This window comes from Homo sapiens, chromosome 9 (genome assembly GCF_000001405.40).
Source record: "Homo sapiens chromosome 9, GRCh38.p14 Primary Assembly".
Lineage (NCBI taxonomy): Eukaryota > Metazoa > Chordata > Mammalia > Primates > Hominidae > Homo > Homo sapiens.
The window spans coordinates 125,097,765-125,117,665 of record NC_000009.12 but is presented as its reverse complement, the minus strand read 5'-3'; the positions used below and the strand labels follow the sequence as shown (position 1 = coordinate 125,117,665).

General features: G+C 41.0%; 1 protein-coding gene and 1 pseudogene across 6 annotated transcripts in view; one reads left to right on the top strand and one right to left on the bottom strand.

Moving 5' to 3' along the window:
* Positions 1–19,901, top strand: part of SCAI (suppressor of cancer cell invasion) — a 200,921-nt gene that overhangs the window by 25,863 nt on the left and 155,157 nt on the right. The gene's annotated exons all lie outside the window — the stretch shown is intronic.
* Positions 12,028–12,234, bottom strand: LOC124902355 (uncharacterized; annotated as a pseudogene).

Genomic DNA, 19,901 nt, shown 5'->3' with positions numbered 1-19,901 from the left:
GAGATGGAGTCTCACTCTGTCGCCCAGACTGGAGTGCAGTGGTGTGATCTCGGCTCACTGCAGCCTCTGCCTCCCAGGCACAAGCATTTCTCCTGTCTCACCCTCCTGAGTAGCTGGGACTACAGGCACGCACCATCATGCCCAGCTAATTTTTGTAGTTTTAGTAGAGATAGGGTTTCACCATGTTGGCCAGGCTGGTCTCGAACTCCTGACCTCAGGTGATCTACCCACCTCAGCCTCCCAAAGTGCTGGAATTACAGGCGTGAGCCAAAGTTCCTCAGGCTTCTAAAACTGAGGTAGTGTAATTTTATCAGGCATTCCTCTATAATGATTGAGGTAATCAGGTAAAAGGAGTTGTTTTCAGTAACCTAGGTACGTTTTTGCTTTTCAGTATGAAAGAATATAAGACTAATAAGAATGAAAATTTTGTTTCTAGGTAGTTTATGCTATTGCATGTGTCTTATATGCAAGATTTAAAGGCTGAAATGTAAGTGATGTTACTTCATTGGATAACAGACAAGCCACATACTTCAGAGGAGATGATGGATAAGTAGTTAATGAAATGTTACTGAGTGAAAAAAAACCTCTTCAGGTGTGTAGGAATGTATTATTTAATTCAGTCAGCATAGAATTCCTGCAGGCCTCAGATTTTTCTTTATTCTCTTATGTTTCATATTCCTTTATCCTTTGCAGCGTGTCAGATACATTGATGTGTTTGAAAATTGACACCAGGTAAAGAATAAATATGATAAGTGAAAGGGTAAATGAGAGTTCAGACATTCTTTATTTTCATAAATTATTCTTAAAATTTTTATTTTATGGAAAATACTAGCTCAAAAAATGGGATAATTAGGACAGATTTTCAAGAGAAAACAATGATTTTTTCAACAGATATTTTTAAAGCATCTAGATAGGTCAGGTACTTTTTTTTGGTTAACATTCTGAAGGCTTCTGATGGAGAGTCTATTTGACATTCTTAAGGTTACTGAAAGCAGAAAATGGTTTTCTCTTAATATATTATTGGTGGGTTTTGTCTCCTAGATTTTTTTCCTAGTTCTTATAAACTGGTAAAAACCTAGAGTTTTTATTTGTAATAAAATTTTACTTGTAATAAAAAATTTAAACATCTTAAAATAAATTCAGTGACTGTTTCATGTTATAGTCTATCCTATATTCCTGGTATCCCTTTTTCTGTTCTACTTCTTATTTTTTAAATAAAAAAGTTTGTGTGTATATATTCTTTTCCCCTCGTTTATTCATTCTAGATTTTGCTTTCTGTCTTCCTTCCTCTGCTCAAATACAAGCCCTGTGAGGGCAGGGATATTTCTTTGTTGATAAAGCACAGAAAATAGTGGAACATAGTAGATGTTCAACAAATTCTTTGTTGAATAAATAATACTTTTAATATTTTAAAGTTAATTCTAATATATACACAAAAGCATATATAACATGTATACTTTTTTTTTAAATTAATTTTTTTTGAGATGGAGTCTCTCTCTGTCACCCAAGCTGGAGTGCAATGGTGCAATCTCGGCTCACTGCAACCTCCGCCTCCCAGGTTCAAGCGATTCTCCTGCCTCAGCCTCCTGAGTAGACAGGCATGTGCCACCATGCTCGGCTAATTGTTTTTTCTGATAGAGATGGGATTTCACGATGTTGGCCAGGCTGGTCTCGAACTCCTGACCTCAGGTTATCCGCCCACCTTGGTCTCCCAAAATGCTGGGATTACAGGCGTGAGGCACTGTGCCTGGCCCAACATATGTGTACTTTAAAGAAGAATTACAAATAAATGTCTTTGTTCTCACTGGTCAACTTAAAAAATAGTGTACTGTCAATACCTTGAAATTCCCTCATATTCCTCTTTTCTATGGCATTTGCCTCCTTCCCTCTCCTATTGGAAGAATAAATTATTTTTATTCATTTGCATTTTTTTCATAATTTTACAACATGAATATAACTATATTATTTAAGTGACTGGATATGACTATAACTGTAAATTGATTTTTTAGTTTCAGATTTGTTAAATTTTATATTCATGAAATGATACTGTATGTATTCTTTAGTTTGCTTTATTCATTCAACATTAGGAGTTTGAGATTCATTTGTGTTGATGCATATTGATATACTCCATTTAAACTGTTACATGGTATTCAGTTACATGACTATGTCACTGTTTATTCTATCTGTGGGCAGTTGGTTTGTGTCTAAATAACAAGCAGTGCAACTACAAACATTTAGAAAGTGTACTCTGGTGTACATGTGCTTCAAGAGTTTTTTTTTTTTTTTTTTTTTTTTGAGGAGAGTCTCGCTCTGTCACCCAGGCTGGAGTGCAATGGCGCGATCTGGGCTCACTGCAAGCTCCGCCTCCCGAGTTCATGTCATTCTCCTGCCTCAGCCTCCCGAGTAGCTGGGACTACAGGTGCCCACCACCACGCCCGGCTAATTTTTTGTATTTTTAGTAGAGACGGGGTTTCATCGTGTTAGCCAGGATGGTCTCAATCTCCTGACCTCGTGATCCGCCCACCTCGGCCTCCTGAAGTGCTGGGATTACAGGCATGAACCACCGCGCCCGGCTGCTTCAAGAGTTTCTTTAGGCCAGGTGCAGAAGCTCAGGCCTGTAATCCCAGCTCTTTGGGAAGCTGAGGTGGACAGATCACCTGAGGTCAGGAGTTCGAGACCAGCCTGGCCATCATGGCAAAACCCGGTCTCTACTAAACATATAAAAATTAGCTGGGCATGGTGTGCATGCCTGTAATCCCAGCTACTTGGGAGGCTGAGGAAGGAGAATTGCTTGAACCTGGGAGATGGAGGTTGCAGTGAGCTGAGATCATGCCACTGTGCTCCAGCCTGGGCAACAGAGCAAGACTCCCTCTCAAAAAAAAAAAAAAAAAAAAAAAGCCGGGTGTGGTGACACGCACCTGTAGCGCCAGCTACTTAGAGGCCAAGGTGAGAGGATCGTTTGAGCCAAGGAGTTCAAGGCTGGTGTGAGCTGTGATCATGCCACTGTGCTACAGCCTGGGCAACAGAGCAAGACCCTATCTCTGGGGGAATAAAAAAAAAGGTCCTTCAGGTTATATAGCTAAAGAAATTCTAGGTCATATAAAATGGGCATTTGTCAACTAAATATGGACAGTTGTTTTCTGAAATGGTTGTACCAGTTTATGCTCCCATCAGGTACTTCAGTGAGAATTCCAGTTTCTTTCCTTGCCAGCACTTGGTATTTTAAAAATTTAGCCATTATACTAGATGTATAATTTTTTTTTAAGGAAAAAACTTTATTTCATTCTTCAATAACTGTAATTACTAGTGGAGTGTATGTTGGGTATTGTACAACTTCTCAAACCTTAGAATCATTATACACCATCAGCTCTTTTCCTGTACCATACAATTTTCACATAGCATTTATTTTTTATGCCAGCGACTACTAACAACCAGCTTCACCAAGATGTGACATTATTGAAAGGAATGTTGAGTGACCTTATGTTAAAGTTGAATTAGCTAGAACTTGTAGTTTGCATAGTATCCGACAGATGTCACCGTATTTACCTTGAAAATTTAAAATATTTTGCAGCATCCTTGTGAATTTGATGTGATACCCCAAGGCACCTGAGCACACAGTTTGGGAACCATTGCCTTGGAATATTAATCATAGTTACCTCCAGAGAGTGAAATTTTGGATAATTAAAAAAATTTCTTTTTTCTTGAGATGGAGTTTTGGTCTTGTTGCCCAGGCTAGAGTGCAATGGCGTGATCTCGGCTCACCGCAGACTCCGCCTCCCGCTTTCAAGCTATTCTCCCGCCTCATCCTCCCAAGTAGCTGGGATTACAGGCATGCACCACCACGCCCGGCTAATTTTGTATTTTTAGTAGAGACGGGGTTTCTCCATGTTGGTCAGGCTGGTCTCGAATTCCCGACCTCAGGTGATCAGCCCGCCTTGGCCTCCCAAAGTGCTGGGATTACAGGTGTGAGCCACTGTGCCCAGCCAAAAAAAAAAAAAAAAATCTTTATACTTTCTGGATTTTCCACTTTTATAATGATCATATAACACAAGAGGTGTTATGATTATATATTTTATGCATTATGATTATATATATTGCATTTACTTTTTAAAATTTTTAACTGAAATTCATAATTTTTTCTACTTTCTTTAGTCTTTACCTAATATCCTTTTTCTGTTGCACCCAGGATACCACATTACAGTTAGTCATCGCATTTCCTCAGGGTCCTCTTGCCAGTTACAGTTTCTCAGACCTCTCTTATATTTGATGACTTTGAAAATTTTGAGGGGCATTGGTCAAATATTTTGTAGAATGTCTCAACTGGGATTTGTGTGATGTTTTTCTCATGATTAGATTGGATTTTTAGGGAGGAAAATCACAGGTAAAATGCATTTCTCATCACATTGTATCAAGGGTACATGCTGTTCTGCATGACTTATTTCTGTTGACTGTAAACTTGATTACCTGGCTAAGATAGGGCTTGTCAAATTTCTTCATTGTTAAGTTACTACTTTATTCACGCTTTTCATACTGTACTCTTTGGAAGGAAGTCATTGCACAGTGCACACTTAAAGAGTGAAGGTTGTGTTCCACTTCCTTGAAGATAAAATACCTACATAAATAAGTTTTTCTTCATTTAAGATTTGTCTGTGTATTCAGTCATATATTTATGTAATTGGACTCATGGATATTTGTTTCATGCTTTGGTTTATAATCCAGTACTACTTTATTTTCTTGCTCAGATTGTTCTAGCTTTGGTCATTGGGAGCTCTTTTCAGTTGGCTGATAAGTCCCTTTGACATACCATTGTCATGATGGCTTTGTTTGATTTTGTTTGTTTTTTAAGTATTTCCTTCCCTTTCTGGCACTACAAGATGCTCCAGGTTCATCTTGTATATTTCCTCAGTCATAGAATCAGATATTTCTCCAAGGATCCCTGATTCCTTTTATTGGAGAATGGTATTAGAAGCCAAGAGCTAGGTGTTAGGTGTGTTTGTTGCTACTGGGGCACAATGTGGTTTTAATTTGCATTCCTGTGATGATTGATGACATCAGACACCATTGTATATGTTTATTGGTTATTTATATATCCTGTTTGTCATGTGACAAGCCTGTTTAAGACTTTTCCTAACAGCAGTGTTGCGGTTATGACAGAGACTATATGGCTCACAAAGCTTAAAATATTTATTATCTGGCCGGTTACAAGAAGAGTTTACTTGCCCCTATAGTTATAATAACTATGTTAATGTCAGTCCTGTTCTGGGTTGGTTTTGATTGGTTGATTTTTCTTATATTTTCTTCTTTCCGTGTCTGGTTATCTTTGAGTAGATAGTAGACATTGTAAAGATACTTGAGTTTTTTTTCTTTTTTATAAATTTCTTGAGACTTTTCTTGGCACGCAGTTAAATTATTTGGAAATATTTCTGTTCTTTAAGGTCATACTTTTAAGCTTTGTTAGGTGGATCAGATCACCGTTTAGGGCTGTCATCACTAGGGCATATAACTGTACTAATGTGACATGACCCTTCTGAATGCCATACCAGGGAATTATAAGGTTTTTCAAGTCTGGCTGGTGGGAACAGGCACTATTATCGCTTGTGTGTGAGTTCCAGGCTTCCAGGCACTGTTCCCTCTAATCCTCTCAGATGATTCTTTCCTCTCTGGTAGTTTTCTTCTACACATGGGCTTATCAGTACTTGGCGGAATACTTGAGAGAAACTCTCCCTAGATCTCTAATATTTTCTCTCTGTGCAGCTTTCTCCTCTACAGCATTCTGTCCTGTGCACTCTAGATGCCTTAGCGTCTCTAGACACTCAGCTCCATCTTTTTAACTCAGGGCCTCTGCCTGAGTTCCTCTTCCCTGCGCTACATCCTAGAAATGCTCTCAAGGCAGTCAGCTGGGGTAGTTGTAGGCCCTCCCTTCTTTTGTCCTCAGAGATCACTGTCCTTGCTGCCTAATGTCCAATGTCTTGAAAACCACTATTTAGTCCAGGGATGTACAATCTTTGGCTTCCCTGGGCCACACTGGAAGAAGAACAGTTGTCTTGGGCCACATATAAAATACACTAACACTAATGATAGCTGATGGACTAAAAAAAAAAAAAAATTTTCACAAAAAAAGTCTCATAATGTTTTAAGGAAGTTTGCGAATTTGTGTTGGGCCACATTCAAAGCCATCCTGGGTTGCGTGTGGTTCATGGGCCATGGGTTGGACAAGCTTGATTTACTCTATTTCATCTGCTTTCTTCCTTTTTTTCCAGATAGGAGGGTAAATCTAGTCCCCGTTACTATACCTTGGATAGAAGTAGAAGTCTTTGAGGTCTTTTTAAAAAATTCTGAATGGATGTTTAATTTTATCAAATGCTTTTTCTGTATCTATTGAGAAGATCATATGATTTTTTTTCTTTCTCTTTTTTTCCTTCTAATGTGTTGAATTAATTTGATTGATTTTTTTTTTAAATGTTAAACCAACCTTAAATTTCTGGAACAAACCCAACTTAGTCACGATCCTTTTTTAACATATTGCTGAATTCAATTTACTCATATGTGTTTTAAGATTTTTACATCTATATTTTGTACATACACTGCCCTTCTTCAGGTTTGGACATCAAGATTTTCCTTATAAATGGTTATCCAAGGTTATAGTGGGTGGGAAATGTTCTCTCTTTTTCTCTAGAAAAGTTTGCATAATACTGGTGTTCTTTTTTAAAGAGAAGCGGTTTAATTGGTTCACGGTTCCACAGGCTGTTCAGGAAGCATGGCAGCATCTGCTTCTGGGGAGGCCTCAGGGCGCTTTTACTCATGGTGGAGGCAAAGCGGGAGCAGGCCTCTTAAATGGCAGGAGCAGAACCATATTAGTCCATTCTCATACTGCTATATAGAAATAACTGAGACTGGGTAAATTTGTAAAGAAATAGGCTTAATTGGCTCACAGTTCTACAGGCAGAACAGGAAGCACAGCAGCTTCTGCTTCTGTGGAGGCCTCATGGTGGAAGGTGAAGGAGAAGCAGGCAGGTCTTACATGGCTGGAGCAGGAGCAAGAGAGTGGGGAGGCAACCAGATCTCACGAGAACTCACTATTGCCAATTGAAATCATGAGGAACTACCCCCATGATCCAATTCCCTCCCACCAGACTCCACCTCCAACATTGGGGATTGCTGTTCAACATGAGATTTGGTCAGGGATACAGATGCAAACCATATCAGTCGTCCAGGCTGGTCTTGAACTCCTGGCCTCAAGTGATCCTCCCACCTCAGTCTCTTGAATAGCTGGGATTATAGGTGTGTGCCACCATCCCCAGCTAATTTTTAAAATTGTGTTTTAGAAACATAGTCTCACATTTGGACCACTGTTTAATTACAGATCTACTTCTCTAACAGATATAGGATTGTTTAGGTTTTCCATTTGCACTTGTTTCGGTTTTGGTCAGCTGTGTTTTTCTATGAAGACAAATGATCTGTTCAAGGTCATACATCTTATAATGAATAAACTTTCCAATCTTAAACTTTTTCAAATGGTGTCATACCAACATAATACGTATGTTTAAATTTGTAAACTCTTTTATCCTCTCTACTAGAATATCAACTAGTGGGTAGATTCTGTATTTACTAAAACTTCCTATCATCTGAGTCTTAAGGCCTATAAACAGATATTTGAATTAAATTAAAGCATGCTTGGGGCCAGACATGGTGGCTCATGCCTGTAATCCCAGCACTTTGGGAGGCCGAGGCGGGTGGGTCACTTGAGGTCAGGAGTTTGAGACCAGCCTGGCCATCATGGCGAAACCCCATCTCTACTAAAAAATACAAAAATTAGCTGGGCGTGGTGGTGCGTGCCTGTAATCTCACCTACTTGGGAGGCTGAGGCAAGAGAATTGCTTGAACCTGGAAGGTGGCGGTTGCAGTGAGCCGAGATCACATCACTGCCCTCCAGCCTGGGAGACAGAGTGAGACTGTGCCTCAAAAATAAATACATAGATAGATAGATAGATAGATAGATAGATAGATAGATAAATGGAAACCTTGATTTAAGTAGTTGCTTCAGTAGTTCATTTGGGCTTTGTCAGTCAATAACACATTTTACTTCTGTAGTAATGGGTTACTGATAAGGGAAAGATATGTTAGGGTATGTATTGAATAAAAAGGTGGGAATGGTGAATTGAAAGTATAGTTCTTTAAATTATTTACTCATTTTTTTAAAATTGTTTGGTGTTTTATTAAATACATGGCACTTTAATAACAAATGTAAGCTCCTCTTTCTCTGTTACCAGAGACCTGTCTTTTATTATTATTATTATTATTATTTTTTAAAATTGATAATTCTTGGGTGTTTCTCGCAGAGGGGGATTTGGCAGGGTCATAGGACAATAGTGGAGGGAAGGTCAGCAGATAAACAAGTGAACAAAGGTCTCTGGTTTTCCTAGGCAGAGGACCCTGCGGCCTTCCGCAGTGTTTGTGTCCCTGGGTACTTGAGATTAGGGAGTGGTGATGACTCTTAACGAGCATGCTGCCTTCAAGCATCTGTTTAAGAAAGCACATCTTGCACTGCCCTTAATCCATTTAACCCTGAGTGGACACAGCACATGTTTCAGAGAGCAGCGGGTTGGGGGTAAGGTGATAGATCAACAGCATCCCAGGGCAGAAGAATTTTTCTTAGTACAGAACAAAATGGAGTCTCCTATGTCTACTTCTTTCTACACAGACACAGCAACAACCTGATTTCTCTATCTTTTCCCCACATTTCCCCCTTTTCCATTTGACAAAACCGCCATCGTCATCATGGCCCGTTCTCAGTGAGCTGTTGGGTACACCTCCCAGACGGGGTGGTGGCCGGGCAGAGGGGCTGGCTCCTCACTTCCCAGAAGGGGCGGCCGGGCAGAGGCGCCCCCCACCTCCCGGACGGGGCGGCTGCCGGGCGGAGACGCTCCTCACTTCCTGGACGGGGCGGCTGCCGGGCGGAGGGGTTCCTCACTTCTCTGACGGGGCGGCTGCCGGGCGGAGGGGCTCCTCACTTCTCAGACGGGGCGGCTGCCGGGCGGAGGGGCTCCTCACTTCTCAGACGGGGCGGCTGCCGGGCGGAGGGGCTCCTCACTTCTCAGACGGGGCGGCTGGGCAGAGACGCTCCTCACCTCCCAGATGGGGTCGCAGCCGGGCAGAGACGCTCCTCACATCCCAGACGGGGCGGCGGGGCAGAGGCGCTCCCCACATCTCAGACGATGGGCGGCCAGGCAGAGACGCTCCTCACTTCCTAGATGGGATGGTGGCTGGGAAGAGGCACTCCTCACTTCCTAGACGGGATGGCGGCCGGGAAGAGGCGCTCCTCACTTCCCAGACTGGGCAGCTGGGCAGAGGGGCTCCTCACATCCCAGATGATGGGCGGCCAGGCAGAGACGCTCCTCACTTCCCAGACGGGGTGGCGGCTGGGCAGAGGCTGCAATCTCGGCACTTTGGGAGGCCAAGGCAGGCGGCTGGGAGGTGGAGGTTGTAGCGAGCTGAGATCACGCCACTGCACTCCAGCCTGGGCAACATTGAGCACTGAGTGAATGAGACTCCGTCTGCAATCCCGGCACCTCGGGAGGCCCAGGCTGGCAGATCACTCGCGGTTAGGAGCTGGAGACCAGCCCGGCCAACACAGCGAAACCCCGTCTCCACCAAAAAAATACGAAAACCAGTCAGGCATGGCGGCGCGCGCCTGCAATCGCAGGGGTTCGGCAGGCTGAGACAGGAGAATCAGGCAGGGAGGTTGCAGTGAGTGGAGACGGCAGCAGTACAGTCCAGCTTCCGCTCGGCATCAGAGGGAGACCGTGGAAAGAGAGGGAGAGGGAGACTGTGGGGAGAGGGAGATGGAGAGGGGAGAGGGGAGAGGGAGCTTATTTACTCATTTTAAAATTTATTTTTAGAGATGGGGTCTTGCTCTGTTGCCGAGGCTGGAGTGCAGTGGCACAATCATAACTCACTGCAGCCAGGCTCACTCCCCAGCTCAGGCTGTCCTCCTGCCTCAGCTTCCTGAGTAGCTAGGACTGCAGGCACATGCCATGACACCTGGGTAATATTTAAAATTTTCTTAGAGACAGAGTCTCACTATGTTGCCCAGGCTGCTCTTGAATTCCTGGGCTCAAGTTATCCTCCCACCTCAGCCTCCTGAATAGCTAGGATTACAAGCATGAGCTATCTTGCCTGGCTCTGGTTCTTAAACCTTGGAGGTTCCATTTATATGGTTGTATTTCTTTTTCTTTTCTTTTTCTTTTTTTTTTTTTTTGAGACAGTGTCTCCCTCTGTCGCCAGGCTGGAGTGCAGCGGGGCGATCTCGGCTCACTGCAACCTCCGCCTCCTGGGTTCAAGCGATTCTCCTGCCTCAGCCTCCCAAGTAGCTGGGACTACAGGCCCACACCACCACCCTTGGCTAATTTTTGTATTTCTAGTAGAGACGGGGTTTCACTATGTTGGCCAGGATGGTCTCGATCTCCTGACCTTGTGATCCTCTCCCCTCGGCCTCCCAAAGTGCTGGGATTACAGGCGTGAGTCACTGTGCCCAGCCTGTTGTATTTATTTTTCTAGATTACAGTTAATTTTGTTTTCATTTCTTGAAACCTAGTAGAATATGTATCTGCCTATAATTCAAGGGCAATTGAAAGAAAGAAAAATAACTCAAGGCCAGGCATGGTGGCTCACATCTGTTATCCCAGAACTTTGGGAGGCTGAGGCAGGAGGATCATTTGAGCCCAGGAGTTCAAGACCAGCGTGGGCAACATAATGAGACTCTGATGCTACAAAAAACTTAAAAAAAAAAAAAAAAAAATTAACCAGGCATGGTGGCACATGTCTAGCTACTTGGGAGGCTGAGGTGGGAGTATTGCTTGAGCCCAGGAGGTCAAGGCTGCAGTGAGTGGTGATTGTACTCTGCACAGTGAAACCCTGTCTCAAAAAAAAAAAAAAAAAAAAAAGGAAAAGAAAAATAATGCAAGTTCAGCATATGATTTAGCAAAACCATTTTTGATTTCTCTTTGAGAGAGATTGTAACTTGAATCCTCCTTTTAGTGGGGAGAATTTAATGAATATTTTACATTTCAGTGTAATAAAATGTGTCCAACTTGTTACACAAGACTTAGTTTAAGATTCACATGTTTGGGAAGAATGTGGGTTTGAGTGGTGAGGGTTCAGTTGAAGGTCTCTTTCTATAAAGTATATAATTTGTTGCCAAAGGAAATATTACCTAGCAGCAGTTTACATGTGCCAAGAGAGGACAGAGAAGTCTTATAGTAGAAATTGTACAGAGGAGCTGTCAAACTAGATCCCTGAGGATGTCAGACAGGAAATAAAGCTTATGATGCTAAAAAATTTTACTGGATGACTAGGCCATTGGAAATGAATCTTCCAATGCTTGTGTTTTTTTTTTATCATGCTTTTATTTGAAAACAGTTACTTACACTTACAAATTTAAACTGTTTAAGGTATTTAGACCAAAATTTAAGAAACTTTATAAGATCTTATTGGCTAAATATTGACTTAACTATATATATATATATATATATATATATATATATTTTTTTTTTTTTTTTTTTTTTTTTTTGAGATGGAGTCTCACTCTGTCACGCAGGTTGGAGTGCAGTGGTGTGATCTTGGCTCACTGCAACCTCCGCTTGCTGGGTTCAGGTGATTCTCCTGTCTCAGCCTCCTGAGTAGCTGGGACTACAGGCCCGCACCACCACACCCAGCTAATTTTTGTATTTTTAGTAGAAACGGGGTTTCACCACATTGGCCAGGCTGGTGTCCATCTCTTGACCTCATGATCTGCCTGCCTCGGCCTCCCAGAGTGCTGGGATTACAGGCGTGAGCCACCGCGCCCGGCCAACTATATCTTTTTCTTAGAAAGTGTTTATCCTCTGAGATTAAGGTTTGGAAAGTTATAAGGAGAGAGACTTTAGGTTCTTGGAGATAAAATATAGTAATGTAAGCAATTTCCTTCTCTATGCCAAACGTGGAAATACAGACAATATGTATAAGCAATTGTGCCAAAGTATTTATCTGTGGTTCTCTTTATTCCTAAAATATATTGCCCATTTCTACTATACACATTCAGATACACTGTACAGAATTATAGAGATTTGGAACCTGAAGGACTTTAAAGAACATTCAAATTTCTTTATTTTGTGGAGAAGGGACATGAGACAGGTAACATTAAACTGATAAGAACAGATACTACACTTGATCTTGGCCAAAAGGCCAAGAAGCGATAGGTAACATAAAAATACAGATAGTTTGCCCAGTATCATGAAGGGAATAGGAGCAGACTTAGCTCTTGGAGAAATAGAATCTTTCCTTATTTACTGTTGCAGTAATGAGTTATTTGAATTTTTATTTATTTATTTTAGAGACAGGGTCTCACTCTGTCACCCAGGCTGGAATGCAGTGGTAGCAATCTTCCTGCCTCAGCCTCCTGAGTAGCTGGGACTACAGGGGCATGTCACCATGCCCAGCTAATTCTTAAAGTTTTTTTTGTAGAGATGGGGTTTCACTATGTTGGCCAGGCTGGAGTTGAAGTTTTAGAGGTACATGATGGCTTTGGTTTTCTTACCACCAGATGATTTATGAAAGTTGATGTATCAGTTGACTGTCAGCAGAAGTGAAAAACTGTCAAGCCCCTTTGAAGACTATTATTATTCAGGAAACAAAACAGTGTTGACACTAAATTTTTTTTTTTTTTTTTTTGAGACAGGGTCTTGCTCTGTTACCCAGGCTGGAGGGCAGTGGCATTATCTCAGCTCACTGGAACCTCCACCTTGCAGGTTTAAGCTATTCTCCTGCCTCAGCCTCCTGAGCAGGTGGGATTACAGGTGCCCACTGCCATGCCTGGCTAATTTTTGTATTTTTAGTAGTACATTACCAGTGTAGTTTGTTTGTTTGTTTTTTGACAAACAAAGGGTTTTGAGAAAGATGGAGTTTCACCATCTTGGCCAGGCTGGTCTTGAACTCCTAATCTTGTGATCCACCTGCCTCACCCTCCCAAAGTGCTGGGATTACAGGCCTGAGCCACTGCACTGGCCTTTTTTTTTTTTTTTTTTTAAAGTAAAACACAGGATCAGAAATCTCTTTGTTTTGCATCATTTGTGCAATATTTGTTTTGTTTGTTTTTTCCTTAATGTCTTGAGAGCCAGCAAAGATTATCTGACAGACAGAATTAGACTGAAATCTCTTAGGGAGGTTGTGAAGTATTTAGAGTTAAAGGCTAGAGTTAAGAATAAGCAGTGGCAAAGGTATAACTATAAACCTCAAAGTGTTACTGACTTAGGATTCATTCATGACTCTTCTGCATTAAGATTGGGAGTTAACTTTTAAAAACTAGGTACCTCCGTGAAACATGTATGCATCTTACTGGACACTCCTTTGTCGTTTTTCCAATCACTTCTGCCAGATGGGTTTTAATATAATAGGAAGAATTGTTACGATGTCAGCTCTGTTGTAATTTGGACTGGAATGATTCTGTTCTCTTGTGAACTTGAAGAGTCCAGTTGAATCACTTTCTAGTTATTGTCTTTATTTTTTTATTGTAGTTTTTAAGTGTTTGTTTCTACTTGTGGTAATAATCCTGTTAGGATGCATATTACCAACTATATGTGAAGGCCTGGCTATATGGAGCATAAAATTAGATATGCTTCTTTCCTTTGGCTCACAGTCTAAATTTAGTAGGTGAGAGTTTCCTTTCCTAGATGTCATTAAAAATAGAAGATACCCATCTGTCTGGAATGGGTTAGATACACTTCTCCCTACAGGCTGAGAGATGAATTATATAACACTAACTTCCTTTTAGCCCTAGGATTCTTAGAAAAAAATGTTTCTCTTTTAATACAGAGGCCAAGAGTGTATAGTTTGAATGTTAACCTTAAATTATCCTATAAGTTTGTGAAACTCAGGAAGTCCTAAGAAAATTGAATTTTGAGGAGAAATCGAAAAGATAAGGTGAAACAACATCACTTGATTAAGAAATTGGCTTTGAGGTAAAATCTGTTCCCAGCCCTAGATTTACAATTTACTAGCTGTGTAAGAAAGTTGTTTAACCTGAGACTGTAACTTCATTATTGTGGTTGGAATAGTAAGGACCGCTTGTTGAGGGGCAAATTAAATGAGTGAATATTTATAAAGTGCTTTCTTCAGTGCTTGGGATGTAAAAGACATTTCTGGTGGTGGTTATTACTGTTAATGTTAATATTACTTCTGGTTCTTTTTATTAAAAATCTGCCATCTCACTATTAAAAATCTTAATTTGGAGCTCAGGATAGAATATGAGGTCAGAGTTAAATAGGGAATTCCTAGGTGTATTTGGAGTCCTGGAAGTCATTTAGAGGAGGACTGAAAAATCATCCTCAAAGGACTACCTGTGTTAGTGGATGCAGAAGAAACAGGAAAACAGACTGCGAGAAAGCCATCAATGAGGTGAAAAGAGAACCAGGGGAATGATGTCATGGGATTCAAGAGAGAGATTGCTCACTGGGTCAGAAAGTTTCTTCAGGAGTTCATTTAAAAATATTTTCAGCACTAGGTGATGTCAGGTAGGGAAGGCCTCTGAGGAAACCATTGAACTGGGCAGGTAAGAGGTCCTCATCTTTGAGAGAGTGGAAAAATGACTGTAGACCTAGACTTGATTAGGCAGAGAAGGAAACAAGCAGTGAGGAAAAGCAGAGGGCAGGTGTCTAAGATGGAACCTCATGAAAATTTAGCTGTATAGAGAAAGAGAGAGATGACTTAAGGGAGAGGAGAAGGTGTTTGGGTAGGGCTGGGCGCGGTGCCTCACGCCTGTAATCCCAGCACTTTGGGAGGCCGGGGTGGGTGGATCACCTGAGGTCAAGCATTCAAGACCAGCCTGGCCAACATGGCGAAACCCCGCCTCTACTGAAAATACAAAGATTAGCTGGGCATGGTTGCGGGGTCCTGTAATCCCAGCTACTTGGGAAGCTGAGGCAGGAGAATTGCGTGAACCTGGGAGGTGGAGGTTGCAGTGAGCTTAGATCGTGCCACTGCACTCCAGCCTGGGCGACAGAGTGACACTCCATCTCAAAAAAAAAAAAGTGGGTTTGTTTGTTTCATTTTGGTAAGAGAAAAAATTGGCATGTTTGAAGGCTGAGGGAGAGGTTAAACTTACTGGGCAGGGAGTAGCTGATGGTGAAGTTGTGGTCAGAGGCAAGTGGGACTGGAATCCAGTGCACAGGTGGTGGCTGGAGGAGCAGCTGATCTTTATGAAAGAGGAGGACTGAGGGAGGGTAAGTAAGATAGAGGCTGCAGGGGAAAATGAGGAAATTCATGTCTAATGGCCTCTTACCGATTTAAGTAGGGAAACGGTAATGAACTCATCATTGGGATAATTAGGATAGATGAATAGATCCTTTTCTGCTGCTAAATAAATAAAAGTAGACTTGGGAAAAAGGAATATCATTATTTTCCTATGGAAGCATATATTAAAACATTAGACCAATGGTTCTCAACTGAGAGTGATTTTGTCCCTTGGGACATTTAGCAATGTCTGGAGACATGTTTGTCACCGACGTGGGGTGTGTTACTGGTGTCTAGTGTGTGGAGGCCAGGGATGCCGCTAGACATCCTGCAGTGCACAGGACAGCACCCACATCAAGGAATGATGTGATCCCAAGTGTCCATAGTGTTGGAGTTGAGAACTTTGCCCTAGACCAGTATGTGCCTACAACATACACTTCAACAAAAGCTAAGAAGTTCACATAACAGCTTGATGTCTCTATCCCCTTGTGGAAAGTCACAGTATATGTTTAGTTTATTCAAGTCTGAAAAATTCTCAAAAGGAAATCTAAACTGTTTAGCTGACTGACATTTTCCCTGCTCTTTCATAGCAACTGTTAACAAACACACTGAGAAATACATTTAGGGGGAAAGGATGTACTTCAGTCTCTTGGCTGGTCAGTACTATGTATTCATCCCTGTATTTCTAGTGTCTGACACAGTTCTTGGCATATTTTGTGGTACTAAATTGACTCCAGCCTATACCATTCCCCTGAACTCTAGACTCAAAATTCCAGCTGCCTGTTCTGCATTTTTGCTCAGATGTCCAGTAGCTTCTCAACCCTAACACTTCCAAAGTGGAGCTCCTAATAGACCTCCCAGACATGTCTGGAGGTCTCATCTTAGTCAGTGGCTATTCCATCCTTCCAGTTGCTCAGATCAAAGGCCTTGGAGTCATTCTTCACCTTGTCTTATCCTCTGCATTCCCATCCATTGGTAAGTCTCAGCTCTATCTCTAGGAAATATTCAGCATTTAACTATTTTCCACTCTCTCTACTGATTTAAACTGTGGCCTGAGTTGTTAGAGCAGTCTTACAACTGGCTTCCCTGCTTCCGTTCTTGTCTCCCAATACAGTAGCCAGTGAGATCCTTTTAAAATGTCAGTCAAATCACATCACTCCTTGTTCAAAACGCTCCATTGGCTCCTCATTTGCTTCAGTATACAAGCTGAAGGCTTTTCAGTGGCCTACATGGCTGTGCGTGAACTGGTTCTTCAGTATGTCTCTGACCTCTTCCCCTCCTCATCAATCTGTGCCTGGTTCCACTTCAGTCTCAGTTGGGTTTGTTGTTGTTGTTGTTGTTAAGAGATGGGGTCTCACTGTGTTGCCCAGGCTGGATTCAAACTCCTGGACTCAAGCAGTCCTCCCTTTTCAGCCTCCTGAATAGCTGGGATTGTAGGCATGCATCACCGTGCCCAGCTCAGTCACAGTTTTTAGTTCAGTGTTTTGCTGTTGCTCAAACACATCAGGCAAGCTAACTCGGGGCCTGTGCACTTGCTCTTTTCTCTGCCTAGAATAATTTTCTACCACATTTCCCTCACGGTTTATTCTTTCACCTCCTTCAAGTTATTTTTGCTTAGATGTCATCTTAGTGAGGTCTTTTGTGATCAGCCTGTTTCCAATTGCAGCTCTTTGTCCCCTTTGTCTGCTTGCTTTTTCTCCAGAGCACTTATCACCATCTAATATACTATGTAATTTATATAATTTGTACTGTCTCCCCCTACTAGAGGTAACTTATTTTAGTCCAAGAACATTTTATGTGTGTTTTGCTCATTACTGTGTTACCTGCAATTTGAACATTGCGTGACATGTAATAGGCCTTTAATGAATGATTGTTGAAAGAATGAATAGTGATTAAAGCAAAGGCTCTGACTTAGAACCGAAATTGAGTCCTGGTGCTGGCACTCGTCTGCTTTGTGATCTTAGGCATGTCATTAACCTATCTGGCCTGCTTACTCTTCTCTGAAATGGAGATAGTAGAACCAAGTAGGTTTGTCTTGAGGATTCAATGCAAGAATCTGTGTAAAGCTCTCAGCTCAGAATCTGGTGCATAATAAACAGTCAATAAGTGATTGCTTTTATTACTACTTTTTCTTCCCTTCCAATGTGAAAACCTGGGCCACTTCTGACATATATGTTGCAAGTTGCAATTCTAAGCTAAATGTTGGCAATCACCACAAGAGACAAGAGCTACTTCTCATAGATCTGTAGAATACACTGATATTTGTGCTTTAAAATCTTACATTAAAGTATGGCAGTTCCTTAAAAAATTAAACATAGAGTTATTATATGATCCAGCCACTCAACTTCTGGGCGTGTGCCCAGATAAATTGAAAGCAGGTACTTGAACAGATTGGTACACCAAGGTTAGTAGCAGCATTATTCACAATGGCCAAAAGGTGCACACAACCCGGATGTCCATTGATATAGATGGACAGATAAACAAAATGTGTTATATCCATACAATGGGATATTATTTAGCTATAAAAAGCAATGAAATTCTGACACATGCTACAACATGGATGAACGTTGAAGACACTATGCTGAATGAAATAAGCCAGACACAAAACGACAAATATGATTCCACTTATACAAAGTACTTAGAGTAGTCAAATTCATAGAGACAGTAGAATTTAACACCTGTTACTGACAGACACATGATTTCCTCATATTCATTACTCACTCAAAGTCTGGAATGTTCAAGGCCAGCCAGAGCCTAAGCCAAAGTACCAGTGATAATTCTTATGTTTTGCTTAAACATAAGGTTTGTATTTGTTTTTCTTTGAAGGATGAAAAGCTGCCGTCTGTAATCCTAGCACTTTGGGAGGCTGAGGCGGGTGCATCACTTGAGGCCAGGAGGTCGAGACTAGCGTGGCCAACATGGCAAAACCCTGTCTCTACTAAAAATACAAAAAAATTAGCCAGGCATGGTAGCGCACATCTCATCTACTAGGCGGGCTGAGTCACAAGAATCACTTGAACCCAGAGGCGGAGGTTGCAGTGAACTGAGATCGCACTGCTGCATTCCAGCCTGGGCAATAGAGTGATGAGATACTGTCTCAAAAAAAAAAAAAAGATAAAAAGTGATTTCTTTCATAACAAAATTCTATAGGAATTACATCATGCTTAGTTTAATTTGGGGAAGTATCTGCATATATATTTTCTCTATTTTTTCCTGGATATGAATATGTATTCTTAAAATTCCTAAAGGATGCCAAGAATGTAGCTAACAGTATCAGAAATAAACTTCAAGGAAGTGTTTCTCTACATCTCAACAAAATCACTTCTCTATATCTCAACAAAATCCCTACAAGTAAATCTGTTTTTAAAATTTGTCTCAAAACATTTGCGGTAAAGACAATTTTGGACACACATCTAATTTTTTTTTTTTAATCTGTGATTTTGCCAATTGAGAAGAACTGGAAACAGGAGGGAGAATTTTGATGTCGTAGATGTTCTTGTTGATTAAGGGATAAGGGCACATACAGACAAACCCAGGAATTATCTGACTTCGGCTAAAACAACAACAACAAAACATCTCCAGTACTAGCCTGAGTAATTGCTTTTGGCATAATAGCTGTTACCTCAGACAGACTGAAAGTTTAATAACTAGATTGGAGACTTCCCTTTGCAGTTCACAAATAGGAAAAACACCACCACAGAAGTTCTGTCACACATCTGACCCCCTTCGATTCTTAATTTACAGTGTGACTGCATCTTGCAGCCATGCCCCATCTTAGCATTCTTAAATTATAATGTTACAGGTTATTGGCCTGCCAAAATGTTCGATATGTAACATTGAACAGTTCCAAATGAGATGAAAACAATCTTGTTACTCATGAGAGTTTGTTTTTTCTAGGCTTCTGTTTCATTTTATGCACCAGTATAGTCATTTTGTGGAAAATAAAGGTTACACTGCTTTATTAAGTCTCTTTTATAATTGTAATCCAGATTTACCATCCAATAAGAGATAACATTGTTATATTTTCTGTCATGTTCTAAATATGTGCTGGGCATGATGGCTCACACCTGTAATCCCAGCACTTTGGGAAGCCGAGGCAGGAGGATTGCTTGAGGCCAGGAGTTTGAGACTGGCCTGGACAACATAGCAAGACCCAGTCTCTCCAAAAAATAAAAAAAAATTATCCAGGTGTTGTGGTGTGCATCTGTAGTCCCAGCTACTGAGGAGATTGAAGTGGGAGGATCTCTTGAGTCCAGGAGATTGAGGTTGCAGTGAGCTATGATTGTGCCACTGTACCCTAGCCTGGGCAACAGAGTGAGACCCTGTCTCATATATATATATGTGTATATACACATATATATATGTGTGTGTATAGATATATATATACACACACACACACATATATATATTCTTATATAGATCAGAATTTATATACATATAAGAATATTCTTAGAGGAATATTCATATTCTTGTATACATTCTTATATATGTAAGAATATATACATATAAGAATATACATTCTTAAATAATGTTGGTGTTGAAATATTGAAGTTTCCATTGCTATTATTTTAATTCTTGAAGGTTCACGAAATATCTGTAATCTTTCTTCCTTGAAATATATATTTCAAGCAACATAT